At 43.3% G+C, this 15,755-nt stretch overlaps 2 protein-coding genes across 2 annotated transcripts in view, besides 1 other annotated feature; both read right to left on the bottom strand.

Annotated features, from left to right (window-relative positions):
- The window catches only part of RADIL (Rap associating with DIL domain), an 86,662-nt gene that overhangs the window by 49,367 nt on the left and 21,540 nt on the right, over positions 1-15,755 (bottom strand). The window lies entirely within an intron of this gene.
- Positions 11,317-15,609, bottom strand: PAPOLB (poly(A) polymerase beta). Its single transcript, NM_020144.5, has one exon. It carries the CDS (start codon positions 15,387-15,389, stop codon positions 13,476-13,478), a length of 1,914 nt encoding a protein of 637 aa, NP_064529.4. The 5' UTR covers positions 15,390-15,609; the 3' UTR covers positions 11,317-13,475.
- Positions 14,852-15,464: an enhancer, noted in NCBI's record as "H3K27ac-H3K4me1 hESC enhancer chr7:4900904-4901516 (GRCh37/hg19 assembly coordinates)". NCBI's record gives its function as "activates a minimal SCP1, AML or CMV promoter by ChIP-STARR-seq in naive H9 embryonic stem cells {active_cell/tissue: H9 hESC(naive)}" and the evidence as "EXISTENCE:reporter gene assay evidence [ECO:0000049][PMID:30033119]".

The raw sequence follows: 15,755 nt of genomic DNA on the forward strand, positions 1-15,755 counted from the left end.
GGCGTGAGCCACCGCGCCCGGCCCTATTGCTTTTTTAAGTATCTTGAGTTTTAACTTTGGTGGGGGAGTCTTTCCTTGCCATCTAGAAAATGATTCCAACTCCCTTCCCTCCCCTGCATCTGTCTTTTTTTTTTTTTTTTTGAGACGAAGTCTTGCTCTTGTTGCCCAGGCTGGAGTGCAGTGGTGCTGTCTCAGCTCACTGCAACGTCCGCCTTCCAGGTTCAAGCGATTCTCCTGCCTCAGCCTCCCAAGTAGCTGGGATTACAGGTGTGTGCCACCATGCCTGGCTAATTTTCGTATTTTTAGTAGAGATGGGGTTTCACCATGTTGGCCAGGCTGGCCTCAAAACTCCTGACCTCAGGTGATCCACCCACCTCAGCCTCCCGAACTGCTGGGATTATAGGCATGAGCCACCGTGCCCAGCCACAACCACATTTTTTAATGGACAAGGATTTGAATAAACATTTCTTCAAAGAATAAATATACATGGCCAATAAGTACAGTAAAATACAATAAAAAATGCTCAACATCATTAGTCATTTGGGAAATGCAGAGGAAAACCAAAATAAGATACCACTTCACACCCACTACCATGGTTATAATAAAAAAGGTAAACAGGCCAGGCATGGTGGCTTACACCTGTAATCCCAGCACTTTGGGAGGCCAAGGTGGGTGGATCACTTGAGGTCAGGAGTTCAAGACCAGCCTGTCCAAGATGGTAAAACCCCGTCTCTACTAAAGATACAAAAATTCCCTGGGTGTGGTAGCAAGTGCCTGTAATCCCAGCTGCTCATGAGGCTGAGGCAGGAGAATCGCTTGAACCCAGGAGGCAGAGGTTGTAGTGAGCCAAGATGACGCCAATGCACTGCAACTGGGCAACAGAGCAAGACTCCGTCTCACCAAACAACAACAACAAAAAAGTTAAACAATATCAAGAGTGCAGAAAGACTGGACCCCTCATACACGATTGCTGGAAAGTAAGATGGTGCAGCCATTGTGGAGAACAGCTTGTCGGTTTGTTAAAATGTTACACATGAATTTACCTGTGACTCATAAGTTCAACTCCTAGGTATATGCCCAAGAGAAGTAAAAAATACACGTCCACGCAAATGCTTATGCACAAATGTTCACAGCAGCATTATCCAGAATAGTCAACAAGGGAGAAATAATCCAAATGTCCATCAACGGGTGAACAGATGAACAAAATCTATCCATACGATAGGCTACTGTTTAGCAATGAAAAGGAACAAAATACTGATGATACCTCTTACAACATGGATGAGCCTCAAAAATATGCTACGTGAAAAAAGCTAGATGCAAAAAAAAAAAAAAAAAAAAAAAAAAACACACAGGTATGACTCTATATATACGAAATATCTGGAAAAAGCAAATGTATAGAGCCAGAAAACTGATCAGGGGCTGCCTGGGTCTGGGGGTGGGACCGGCTGACTGCTAATAGACACAAAGGATCTTTTGGTGATGAAAACGTGCCGGCCGGGTGCAGTGGCTCTCGCCTGTAATCCCAGCACTTAGGGAGGCCGCAGCAGGCGGATCGCTTGAGCTCAGGAGTTCGAGACCAGCCTGGGTGACATGGTGAAACCCTGTCTCTACCAAAAATACAAAAATTAGTCAGGCATGGTGGCACACATCTGTAGTCCCAGCTAACTCGGGAGGCTGAATCGGGAGGACTGCTTGAACCTGGGAGATGGTGGAGGTTGCAGTGAGCTGAGATCACACCACTGCACTCCAGCCTGGGTGACTGCACAGACTGGGTGACTGAGTGAGACCCCGTCTCAAAAAAAAAAAAAAATTGCTAAGACTGGACTGTGATGATGATGATCACACAACTTTGTAAATTTACTAAAAATTCATTCAATTGTATACTAAAAACAGGTAATTTTATGGTATAAAAATACCTCTTATAATAAAAGTTTTTTAAAAAAAAAACCCAGCAAAGACATTTCTTTACGTCATAAGCCCCCAGTCCAACAGAGACAAGGAAGATAGCTCCAAGAAGCTGAAATTGATAAGATATCGAATATATCTGAACATCTTAAAAGAGGGAAGACAACAGAGTGTTAAGGGAATGCGGAAATAATGAAAAGTAGCAAGGAAAAGAATGGACAAGCAAGAAGGACAATAATTAACTACAAAGAAAAATAAAAGTTGGACAGGAAGGAAAAACAATATTTGTATAGACCCATCTTTAGTTGTGAAAAGCTATACATGATCATAAAAAGGTAAACCCTGATTATTAATTTAAAAAAAAACATGGCTCTATTGAGAAGATCGGGCAATAGGAATTGGAAATTTGGAGAGGCGGGTGGTGAAAAGACCTAAGTTCTCATTTTCCACTGAAGGAAGTCACTAGAAAATGTCTGAAATTTTTAAAAACCAAGACATAGTAGGATACGTTTGTTAAAGATAGGGAATTAGGCCGGGCATGGTGGCTCACACCTGTAATCCCAGCACTTTGGGAGGCCGAGGCGGGCAGATCACCTGAGGTCAGGAGTTTGAGACTAGCCTGACCAACATGGAGAAACCTCATCTCTAATGAAAATACAAAATTAGCCGGGCGTGGTGGCATATGCCTGTAATCCCAGCTACTCGAGAGACTGAAGCAGGAGAATCGTTTGAACCTGGGAGGCAGAGGTTGTGGTGAGCCGAGATCGTGCCATTGCACTCCAGCCTGGGCAACAAGAGGGAAATTCTGTCTCAAAAAAAAAAAAAAAAAGGGAATTAAAAGCCAGAAAGAAAGAGTTCACAGTTGAAAGTGGTTATGGGGAGTTCAAAACTGGGAAGAAGGAACGGCTATGGCAGAGAACTGCTGTTTTGCTTTTAATCGGTAATGAGAAACTATTGCTTTAACTGTGCACATATATATATAACTTTGGTGAAAATAAGTAAAAATATTTAAGTGTACATAGTTTTCATTCTACTGCAAGAATGAATTAATGAATGAATGAACGTTGATGGGATCAATTCCATCAACTCCTAAACACACTTGTTTATCTTCTAACATCTCTGGAACTGGAAGGCATCCTGTATTCTGTGGAATGTCGGCCAGGCTGCAGCTGTGAGGCTACAGCTTGGTTTTTGTTGCCTGGGGCAAGGTTCTGAAACATTTCAGTTCATTCAGGACCATCCAAGGCATGAACATGCCTTCCAGCTGTTATCTGCAACAAACCTGCAGACCGAATGGCAGGTGGCTTGGAAGAATGTACTAGAGACAGCAGGGGGTGCCACATCACCAATCCTCTTGAGGACAAAGAAAATGATACTGTGTGGGGAGTGTGGACAGGGACGGCTCTCATTTGAAAAGACTTAGAATCTTAATTCATTTCACTCCTGCATACCTTTCTGCGTACGCACAAAACGAACACAGATCACAATCTGTGTTGAAATAAATCTTTAGCTACAATACAGCTTAAGTACAAAAATAAAAATCCTAGGTAATAAGAAAGTATTATGTCCTAGTTTAATTGTATTTTTTATGGTGGTTAACACTGGTGATCTTACTACTGATAACATCTTTTCTTGGTGAAATATAGTATATGTAGGAATGTATGTTGCAAAATTGTTCCTAACAATCCCCAAATACATAGAGTGTTTCGTCTACACCAAGGAATATTCCATAACCATTAAGATGAATGAATTGGAGGTATAACACACGATGTATTTTCCAGAGAGGATCTGGTATGAAAAATACAGAAAACTAAGTATATGATTCCCTCATTGTTTTCTTTTTATTTTTTTCTTCATTCCTTTTACCCACACTACACAGACGATCCCTTTAAAAAAAAAAAAAAAAAAAAAACCTTTGACAGAAAGAACCCTGTATGTATGTATATACATGTGTAAGAAGTCCCCTGCAGAATAATATAAGCACAGAAAAAGCATGGAAGGTCACTATGGTGGGCAGAATTCTAAGATGGCTCCATGGTCTCTGCCCCCTGGGCTCACTCTGTGATTATGCTGCATGGCAGAAGAGATTCTGCAGATATAATTAAGGTTGTCTATCAGCTGACCTTGAGATATGGAGGTTATTTGCTGGGCCGAACCTAATTACGTGTGCTCCTTCAAAGCCCAGAGTTCTCTCCAGCTGGTCACGGAAGAGAAGTCAGAGAGGTTTGAGGTGTGAGACGTGTGTGATGCCAGGGCAGCTCTCCAGGGCATCACGGGGCAACCTGACAACAGTCACTGGGAGCTGAGAGTGGTCCACGGCTGTGAGCCAGAGAGAGACAAGGGGAGAGATGCAGAGACTTCAGTCCTAAAACCACAAGGAATTGAACTCTGCCAACAACCTTGTGAGTCTGAAAGAGGCCCCTGAGCTCCAGAAAGGAACGCAGCCCAGCCGATACCTTGAGTGCAGCCGTGTGAGACCTGGGCAGAGGGTCCAGCTCTCCCGTGCCCAGACTCCTGACTTGTGGAAAACGTAAGTTAAATAGTATAGTTTTAAGCTGCACTTGTAGTTGCAAGCAATAGAAAACAAGTTCAGGGCCGAGTGTGGTGGCTCACACCTGGAATCCCAGCACTTTGGGAGGCCAAGGCAGGTGGATCATCCGAGGTCAGGAGTTCAAGACCAGCCTTGCCAACATGGTGAAACCCCATCTCTACTAAAAATGCAAGAAAAAGTAGCCGGGCATGGTGGCACACACCCGTAATCCCAGCTACTTAGGAGGCTGAGGCAGGAGAATCACTTGAATGTGGGAGGTGGAAGTTGCAGTGAGCCGAGCTCATGCCATTGCCTGGGTGACAAGAGCAAAACTCCGTCTCAAAAAAAAAAAAGAAAAAAAGAAAAGAAAAGAAAAGTTCGGATTTTAGGGCCAGGAAATGGGGTGCTACTGTAACAAATACCTAAAATGTGAAGGTGCTTTGGTAACCAGGCAATAGGTGGAGGCTAGAAGGACTCTGAGAAGCAGGATGGGGAAAGTCTAGATTCCCTTGAACAGGCTACTAGGAAATGTGCACAGTAAAGACATTGCTTCTTTCTCAGAATAAAGTGAGAACTTTCCTAAATCACCTCAGAGAAAGGCAAAATTGCTGCAAACAGCAGAAACCTAGATGGCTCACAAGACTGCCAGCGAAGGCTCAGAAGGAAGCGAGGGGCATGTTACTGGAAACTGGAGGAAGGAGGGTTCTTGTGATGTGAGGGCAGGGAGCTCACTGAATATGTCATCCTGCAATTGCTGGAAACAGAATTTGCAAATGGTGAACCTGAAGAGATGGCTGAGGAGGTTTCCAAGCAGAGTGTAGAAGGTGCTGCCTGGTTTCTTCTTGCTGCTTATGGTTAAGAGGCAACAGGAGAGAGAGAAATTAAAGAACTGTTCAGCAAAAAAAGAACCAGGACTGGACAAGTTTGAAAATGCGCAGCCTTCCCAGATGACAAGAGATGCCAAAAGTCAGAAATGGCTTCTGATGAGAGGCACAGAGGAAAAACCAAGTGTGGGTCTGGACAACCCTTTGCTGAAACCCAGGAAGACCAAAAGGTCAGGGTACCTGGCCACATAAATGACTCAGTAGAGTCAGGGTGTTCCTCATATATTTTTCTTAGTCAAAACAGAGGACCTCAAGGAAGTTCAAGAGCACTGTCCCTCCACCATCTCACCAGAAGCTGAAAGTAGAGAAGGGATTATCTCAGAGACATTTATGGATGTGGCTTCTGTCTACTGGAGTGAATTCTCAGGAAATCCTCATCCGGCCCACAGGCTCTTCAGAAAATTATACCAGCAGAAACACTGGCTGGCCTAGACTGAAGGGAACAGAGACACTGAAAAATGAAGGGGGTGGCTACAGACAGGAAGTGGCTGATAGACATGCTACCGTCCATGCAGAGGGAAAGATGACTCAGAGGATGAAGCCAAGATCCCAGAGGGTGGCACCAAGAGGACAGAGGGCAGAGCTGAGAGACTACCCCAGGCCTTGGAACGGAACAAAAGAACTTCCACTGGAATTTGCCTCACTAGAGTTCAAAAATGCTTTGGGCCAGGCCAGTGGCACCTTTTTACCTTCCGTTTCCTCCTATTATTTATTTATGTATTTATTGAGACAGGGTCTAGCTCTGTTGCCCAGGCTGGAGTGCAGTGGCATGTTCAAAGCTCACTGCAACCTCAGACTCCTAGGTTCAAGCAATCCTCCCATCTAAGCCTCCTGAGTAGCTGGGAACACAGGTGTGTGACACCATGCCTGACTAATTTTTTATTTTTTGTAGAGATGGGGGTCTTGCTATGTTGCCCACATAGCACAGAGTGGCTGGGATTACAGGCATGTGCCACCACACCCTGATAATTTTTGTGTTTTTGGTAGAGATGGGGTTTCACCATATTGGCCAGGCTGGTCTCAAACTCCTGACCTCATGTGATCCACCTGCCTCGGCCTCCCAAAGTGCTGGGATTACAGGCGTGAGCCACCGCGCCTGGCCCATTTCCCTCACTTTTGAACCAGAGTGATTGTTACCCTATGCCTGTCCCACCCTTGCAAGTTGGGAGGGCTGGGGCAGATATTTGTGTCTTTAGTGTTACAGGTCCACAGATGGAAAGAAATAGCGCCCCAAGAGTGGTACTTAATGGATTATACCCAGACGCCCCATTCACACCTGATTTAGATTAAGATGATGAGATTTTAGACTTGAAGTGATACTATAAGAGGATGAGACTGGGGGACCTTGAGATGGGGTGAGTGTATTTTGCATGTGGGTGTAGCTATGGATCACTGGAGGCCAGAGGGCAGGCTGTGGCAGCCAGAATTCTAAGATGACCCCCAGTGACCCCTGCTTTGCATAACCCGCCCTCCAACCTTGAGCGTGAGTGGGAACTGTTCGTGTCATTTCAAGATTATGTTTTGTTGTATGACAAAAGAGATATTTGCAGATATGTAAATAAGTTTTCTCATCAGTTCACTTTGGGTTAATCAAAAGGGAGATTATCCAGGTGGGCCTCACCTAAACACATGGGCCTTTTAAATAGCAGAAAGGAAGTCAAATACTCAAAGAATGATGGAGATTCCATGTGCCACTGCTGACTTTAAGATGCTGGGGGTAGGCCGGGCATGTTGGCTCACACCCGTAATCCCAGCACTTTGGGAGGCCAGGGCGGGCAGATGACCTGAGGTCAGGAGTTTGAGACCAGCCTGACCAACATGGAGAAACCCCGTCTCTACTAAAAATACAAAATTAGCCAGGCATAGTGGTGGGTGCCTGTAATCCCAGCTACTTGGGAGGCTGAGGCAGGAGAATCGCTTGAACCTGGGAGGCAGAGGTTGTGGTGAGCCGAGATCACGCCACTGCACTCCAGCCTGGGCAACAACAGTGAAACTCTGTCTCAAAAAAAAAAAAAAAAAAATACGCTGGGTGTACATGGAAAGTTATTTGGAAGTGATTTTGAACTTCTAAATATATGTGTGTTGTGAAAGAGAAGACTATCATTGCCATTTACTAGACATTCTCTCCTTCCTCTTAATAGCATAAGCCCTAAGCTATTGGTGAGGTGATGTACCCAGCTAAGAAAAGAGACATTTTCCTGTCTCCCTTGCAGGTAGGCACAGCCATGTGACTACGGTGCAGTCAGTGAAAGATGAGGGGATGCCGCTGTTGGGACTTCTCCGAAAGCTCCATAGGTGGGCAGTTTGCAGGTACACCTTTGCCATTCCCCGTCTTCCTTCTTTCTTCCTGCCTTAAATGAAGATGTGATGGCAGGGGCCCCATTAACCATCCTGCACCTTGAGGTAACCCTGAAGATAGAAGGCATGAACTAGAATGATGGGGCCGAAAGTAGAAAAAGCCTGGTCCCTGGTGACCAGGAAAGCCACCGTTACCAGCCCCGAACTTACTGTTAGGTGAAAGAAAGCTGTATTGTGCCCAAGCTACTCTGACCTGGCCAAATGCAATTCCAAACTGATGAGGGGGCATTAGGTGGGGTTTTCTGTTTGCTTTTGTTTCTGGGGAGGGTGGTGTTTGGTTTTTGTCATTGTTGATAAAGAGGTTACCACTTTGGGCCGGGCGCGGTGGCTCACGCCTGTAATCCCAGCACGTTGGGAGGCCGAGGCAGGCAGATCACCTGAGGTCAGGAGTTCAAGACCAGCCTGGCCAATATGGTGAAATCCTGTCTCTACTAAAAATACAAAAATTAGCTGGGTATGTTGGCGGGCGCCTGTAATCCCAGCTACTCGGAAGACTGAGACAGGAGAATTACTTGAACCCGGGAGGCAAAGGTTGCAGTGAGCCGAGATGGCGCCACCGCACTCCACCCTGGGCGACAGAGCGAGACTCCGTATCAAAACAAACAAACAAACAAAAACAAAAAGATACCACTTTGGTATTGGTTGTTTAATTATATTTCACACATATGAAAGCATTTGTAACTTAGACTAATAACAAAATAAACACCATTTCATCCACCACCCAACCTAAAAAGAATGCACTAGTTCCAGAGTCACATCAACCCTCCCAAGCACATCTTCCTGCCTGTCCCCACCTCTCACCCCACCAAAGGGAATCACTTTCCTGGATTCCGTGTTTAACATGGCCTTTTTTCATTTATAGTTACACCACACATTTTTGGAACCCTAAATTACACTGCTCTACTTTGCTTATTTTGAAACCTTATGTAAATGGTATCACACTGTGTGCATTTTTGTGCTTTTCCCTCAACATGATGACACACAGCTAACACTGACGCAGGCAGCTACGGTCTAATTTCACAACTTTATGGTATTTATTGCATGAATATGCCACCATCCAGCCATTCCCTCATTGATGGATATGTGGATTGTTTGGAACTTTCGGCTACTACAAAACGTTGACATAAACACTCTCATACTCATTTTCAAATGCTTCCTGACTTTTCTACCACCACGAGAAATACCAGAGAAAATTATGGTAGTTAAATGGCACACTGGAGGTAAACTAGAAGGTGTGTAGAGTTCTGGACACGGCTGTGGTCCCACAGACTCTGGTCACCCCAAAGACTAAGGGGATCAGTAAGATGAAGTACATCAGTGTCCCACAGCATGAGGGTGAAGACCTACGAGGAGACTAATTGGAACGCAGAGTGTGGGCCCGTCAACTGTGCTAGATAAGACCAAGCTGCTTCCCAAAGGGGCCAAAACAATTTGCACCATGTTCTCACTGGCACCGCGTTCGAGTTTCCGTTGCTCCTCATCCTCACCATACCTAGACACTGTTAGACTTTTTTATTTTTGTAAAAAAAAAAAAAAAAAAAAAAAAAAAGAAATGCCTCTCTGGTCTCATATTGTATTTTCCTTGTTACTACTGAGATTGGGCATCTTTTCATGTTTATTGGCCGTTCCTAGCTCCTCTTCCGTGAAGTGCTTATGCGCTTCTTTGGCCCATTTTTTAAACTGGGTTGTTGGGGATTTTATTGTTTTCGATTTTTGAGACAGAGTCTTGCTCTGTCGCTCAGGTTGGAGTGCAGTGGCCTGATCTCAGCTCACTGACACCTCCGTCTCCTGGGTTCAAGTGATTCTCATGCCTCAGCTTCCCAAGCAGCTAGGATTACAGGTGCGCATCACCATGCCCAGCGAATTTTTGTATTTTTAGTAGAGAAAAATACAAAAGGTGGAGTTTCACCACATTGGCCAGGCTGGAATCAAACTCCTGGCCTCAAGTGATCCGCTCGCCTCGGCCTCCCAAAATGCTTGGCTTACAAGCATGAACCACTGAATCCAGCTTTTTTTTTTTAGACAGACTCTCACCGTCACCCAGGCTGGAGCGCAGTGGCTTGATCTCAGCTCACTGCAACCTTCACCTCCTGGGTTCAAGCGATTCTCCTGCATCGGCCTCCTGGGACTGACAGGTACATGCTGGGACTACAGGTACATGCCACCACACCCAGCTAATTTTTGTATTTTTAGTAGAGATGGGTTTTTGCCATGTTGCCCAGGCTGATCTCGAACTCCTGGTCTCAAGCGATCCACCCGCCTCGACCTCCCAAAGTGCTGGGATTACAGGCATGAGCTACCGCACCCGGCCTGTTGATCTTTAAAACAGACTTTTTCCTTTGTCACCCTTAATATATTCTGGATAGTAATCATTTGTCAGTTTTATCTTATCACAAAATCTTCTCCCAGCTTAGGGCCTGTTTTTCAGTTTTTTACTTTTCACGGTTCATTATCTGATGAACAAAATCTCTTAATTGTACCAATCTCTTCTTTCATGACTTGAGCTTTTTTGTGTCTTCTTTATGCTGTTACTTAATTTCTAACTTACTGTTCTGTGGTGAGAGAACATGTCCTATAAATCAGATACTTTGAAGTATGTTAAATATTACTTTTGATATAGCAAGAGGTTAATTTTTGTACATGCCCAATGCTTATTTGAGAATAACATGCATTTTCCAATTGTGGGGTGGAAGGTTCTATAATAAACATTCACCAGATCATTCATGGCAAACAATGGCTGATAGGGATGGGTGAGAAATCCGGCCCTGGCCATCTGTTTACATATTGTCTATGACTGATTGCCCTCTACAAAGGCAGAGTTAAGTAGCTGTGACAGAGACCGGATGGCTTCACAAAGCTGAAAATATTTACTATCTGGTCCTTAATGCGAAAAGTCCACCAGCCACTACACCGGACTGTGTTCAAAAACTGTTTCCCTTCTATTTTTATCTGCTTGATATCAATTAATGAAAGGCTGTTTTGAAATCTTCTATGATAATGACACATTTAACAATTTCTGTTCATCTTTGTTATTTTATGTTGAGGCTGAGTTATTAGGTGCAGACAAGTTTTAAATCATTAAATGTTCCTGATGCTGTAGGACTTCTATCATTAATGCATGGTGCTCTTGCCCTTAATAATTATTTTTGCTCTGACACCTACTTGAATAATGTTGTTATTATCCCAGCTTCTTTTCATTAGCGTGCCTTTTTTCCATTCTTTTATTTTGGTTGTGTCTCTTTTAAGTAAAACAGCATACAGTTGGACTTGGTTTTCCCGTGGAATCTGACCATCTCTGCCTTTTTTAATCAGGAAGTTTGGTCCATTTATTGTAGTGACAGTTATACTTGGTTTCATTTCCATGACCATAGATCGTGTTTTCTTTTTACTCTATTTTTTTGTATGCTTTCCCCCTTTCTTTCCTGCCTTCTTCTGGATTCAGCTTAACTTCATTTTTTACTTTTACTTACTTGAAATTTTAACCTTTTCATGTTTCCCTAAACATTACTACGTTCTAGACTTAGTAAGATCGAAAGGTTCATCAGTGACTCTACCCTCCTTCAGAACAATGTAAGTACATCTGAATTCATATCTTAGATTTAAATCGTACTATTGTCCAGTATTTTAGTTTCACTTTGCTTGTTTGCCATTTATTTTTATTGCATTTTTAATGGAGAAATAAGTCATCTGTTTTCAAAACAGTGCTTGAATATACCAGGAGTACAGATACCATAAAACAAAGCAAACTCCACTCACTAGGTACATCACATGAAAAAATGGTCTGACATTCAGGTAATAAAAATTAGAAATAAAAAGTCCCAAGGTTCCAGCTTGGTAAAACAGACACAGTTACAGGTAATGTTTAATAAACTAATTTTTTTCCCAATGTGTAAACAAAATGACCAGACTAAATTTGTGCCTGGCCATTTCAACCTAACGCCATAGCCATTCAAAATACAGATATTGTGCACACTTCACCCGATTTATTATTGTGGTGAAACGGCAAAGATGTGAGAAAAAGAAATACTGTGTACTAGATATCAGAAAGTAATGGTGAAAGAAAAGTCTCTACAGCATAAAAGGACATGACTATATTCCAACTTTGGAAAATTAATGCAGGACAGGAAAAGAGTTTAAGTAATTGCAGTTTAACATGAAAAGTGCAGAGTTAGAGGAGGGACGGGAGGGGTTAAAGCAAGGCTAATTGGAAAGCCTGTTAAGTTTGCTGTCTAGATTAAGAAAGACTCAACTTTCATTCATTCACATCTGTTGCCCCTCACATTTCCTAATCATAGATGCTCTACTGCTTAATTATGAGATTTTTTTTAACTTAAAGTATTGCTGATCTTTTGTAGACTAAAAGAGCAGAAAGCCAGTAAGATGTCAAGTGCTTGCTAGAAATTACTTTTTTATGTTTCTACATGTAAAATTTAGAGATGAATTTTGATAAATCGTTTAAAAATAAAAGTGTTTAAAATTCTTGAAGAAAATGCCTTTTTGCTTATGTGTGCAATTGGAAATTAACTTTCCTATAAGGAGGTATTCTGTGGAATGAACAAAACTTCTCATATGCAGTGATCAAATGGTCATCCAAGATCAGAAACATATCTCATAGACATTACATTTAGTAAAGTTTTGCTAAAATGTGGTGTTTCATCATAACCAATATTTGGTGTTTTGTGCCATGTGGCCACAGGATTGTCAGTTTCACATCATGGTTTAGAGAATATTATTCCTTTTTTCTTGTGAAATGACACATAAGCATACTGTGTGCATACAGGCAAAGAGAAGAGAGGGAGGCAAAAAGCTTTTTTGTTTTAGGACTAATGATTGAGGACAAGAGAATATGGAGCTTTGATAGCTCAAAGAAAATGTTTGATTGCTAATTACTCTAAAACAGTTCTACAGATTAAAACCAGTGTGTCCTTTCTCCATAGTGTGCCATCAAAACCAAAGACCTACTAATGGTTGATGTCAAAAACATACCTTAAAGTTGACATTTCATTTTAAAGGGTTACAGCTACCTCATAGGGACTGAGCTAGATGTACTTTTATGCTTTCTCTGAAGTACAGTACACCGCTGCACAATGGTATCCAATTTTAAGATTAATAGTGAAGAAACCTCTTCAGGGAAAAATAAAATTCACCAATTTGAAAAATCTAAAATTAGTTCTACTTTCTAATAAAAAATATAAAGTGCCTCATCAGTATAAGGAATTCTGATACCAGTTTGTATTGCATATTTTCCCAACAATGCATCAAGCATAAATCCAGTCCAGATGTCAGTCACGGGTACAAACATAGCTGAAAGGTTTTTTCATTTTAAGGGCAGTAGTCCTTTGAAATAGTTAATGTAACTGTTGCTGATACATTAATAACAGTACCTCTAGCTGTCACATACTAATGTGGACTTCTGATCAAGACTGGCTCAGTAAAGGAAGTTACCAAATGAGCCTCAATCTATTTCAAGTCATATCTAGTCCCGTACCCCTCATTCTCCTTCCTTAGTATTTGAAGACAACAGGTTCAGTTGGCAGATATTGTTCATGGACCCTTGAGGTTGTTTTTAACCATTCAACCTGTTTTACTGAATTCTTGATAACAGGAATTGGATTTGCAGGGAGAACAGGGATACCGGAAAGATCTATACTGATGTTCCCTGAGAGGCCAATAGAGAAGATGCTGTCTGAATTTTTCTAATGGAGTTGTACTTGTCTTTGTATTGAGTTTCTCCTCTTCCGTTTTGGTTTTCTTGGTCCTTTCTTCTTTATGAGGCAAGAATATCCTCTAGACTCCAACTATAGGATTAGATATGTTTGTTGCTGAGTTTCCTGAAGGTCTGGATGGCTTATGAGACATGTTGAAGAAACAACTCTGGCGACCATGGCCTTTGGTGATGGAGAAATGGCAGGCTGAGAGACAGCGTGAGGAATACTTTCGTTTAATGCAACCCCTGAACTTTCATTGGTATTCACCTGTTGCAAGGAAAATTCAGTAGCCTGTATGTTAGCCACAGATGCTGTCATTACAGCCAAGGCAGGACTGTTTCTACCCTGAGAACTGCTAATCAATGGGCCTGTCTTCATAGTGCTAGTAGATGAAGGCACAGACATGCTGTTTTCACAGCCTGCAGACAAGTCAAAGCTGCTGTCGTTCAAATCTGTCAATCTTCTACCTTCTGTTGAGTGTGCTTTCTTGTCCTGAAGCACATGATGAGGCAGCAGCTGGTGAAGTTCCTTTCTTCTTAAATGCATTGCAGTAATTTTCATACCCATCTCAAACATCTTACTATTCACTGCTTGCCTATAAACAGTATCTGTGAAAGACTGGATATCATAGGTGAGATCAATGCTGAGAATTTCAGAATTATCTGGCTTTTTTAGCCCTAACCCAATCACCCACATTGTACGAAATTCTTCCATATCAGGATTTTCTTTGGGTGCTGGAAATGACTGTGGATTCACATGTGCCAGTGTAATAAATTCATTCTTCTCCAAGCTCCCAACCAGGATTCGGATCTTTGATTCCACCAAGCCCACCCATTCTAAATGTTGTTTTTCTGTTGATGCACTTGCCAGAAGTACAATATAATGCTTGTACTTTTGAAAGAAGCTTGGAGCTTCAAAGAGTTTGGACCACTCTGCCTTACTTAGCAAAATCTCGTGTGTGATAGCAAGCCCCTGTTTAAACTCCTCAATCATGACCATCCTGGTTGAAATAGACACGTTGTATGTGGAGTTCTGCTGTGGGTATGCTGGTGTGATGATAGGCATAAGATGGTACCTATCACTGGGATTTACTCTTGGGTCCCATACAGGCAAATTAAGATTCCGTTCTTCAGGCTCCTTCAGTAACACTGGGTTTGGCCATTCCCATTCTGAAAATACCAAGAAGAATTTCCGTACAAGAGTTGACGCTACTGCATTTGGATAAAGCTGACAAGTTCTTGCTACTAGCATGGCCCAGGAAACACCTCCGAGGAAACCTAATATATTGGAATAGATATTGTGGCACTTGGCCCACAGTTTGATGGCTCTCAGAGTCAGCCTGAAGTTGTCAATGTTTGGCACTAGATGTAAAATTTCATCGGTTACCCGGCAACCATTAAGGCTTCTTATGCATCTAATGTCTAAATTTTTAAGTAGACTGTCATCTCTTAAGTCCAAATCTTCTGGAATAGTCTGTAGTGCTAATCTTGCAAATAAAATATCAATCTCTATCCCATCAAAACACAGTTTGATAACTGGCACAAATGCCTCCTCGACAGCCCTTAAATCTTTCACTTCCTCCTGTAGTTTCAGTTTAGCATAGAATGAGGTGAAAAAGTCGCTTCGATCCACATGACTTGGTGCAACGCACAAGGCGTCAATATCTGCGCCTTTCGTATGTACTCCTAATCTGTAAGAGCCAAACGTAAAAATCTTTCCTCCAACGTTTTCAATTACAGACTGGGGAAGACTCTTGCTTTCACTGATTTCGCGTATCCATTCCTTTACCAGATTATTTAATTTTTCCAAAACTAAAATCCTGCGCTGCAGTTCCTCTTCCTCTTCGAAGACCCCGAAGGGCCTGAGGGTTTCTATTAGCCTCTGGGTGAGGAGGCAGTCCGTCTCCTTGGGGACCGCTAGACTGATAGGCGAGGAGACGCCGTAGCGATTCGGCGGCGGCGCCGGCTGCGGTGGTCCCTGGGTTGTCACCGGAAACGGCATCATCTTTCAGCGCCCGCCCCGCCAGGGCACGTCCCCCACCACCGCGACCTTCGCGGCCGCCGCCCGGGTCATGATCCGCTGAGGCGGAAGGGCAGGGCTTCTAGCTGCCCTGGTCCGACCCCACTCCCACTCCCGCTGCGCGCCCGCCGCTTCAGGAGCTTCTCCTCCTTCCCCTCAGCCCCAACATGGCGCCAGACCCCTCAGCGGCTGCGTTCCAGAACCTACCGTACACGCGCGGGCGCCTGCGCACCCGCCGCCAGCGCGAGGGCTCACGGGAGCCACAGCGTTCTGGGCTGGGGCTCCTACCGCTGCGCGGGGGGCTATACATGGGGGTGGGCAGGATTCACGTTGTTGATGACCGGCCAAACT

Source organism: Homo sapiens, chromosome 7, assembly GCF_000001405.40.
Source record: "Homo sapiens chromosome 7, GRCh38.p14 Primary Assembly".
In the NCBI taxonomy this organism is placed as follows: domain Eukaryota; kingdom Metazoa; phylum Chordata; class Mammalia; order Primates; family Hominidae; genus Homo; species Homo sapiens.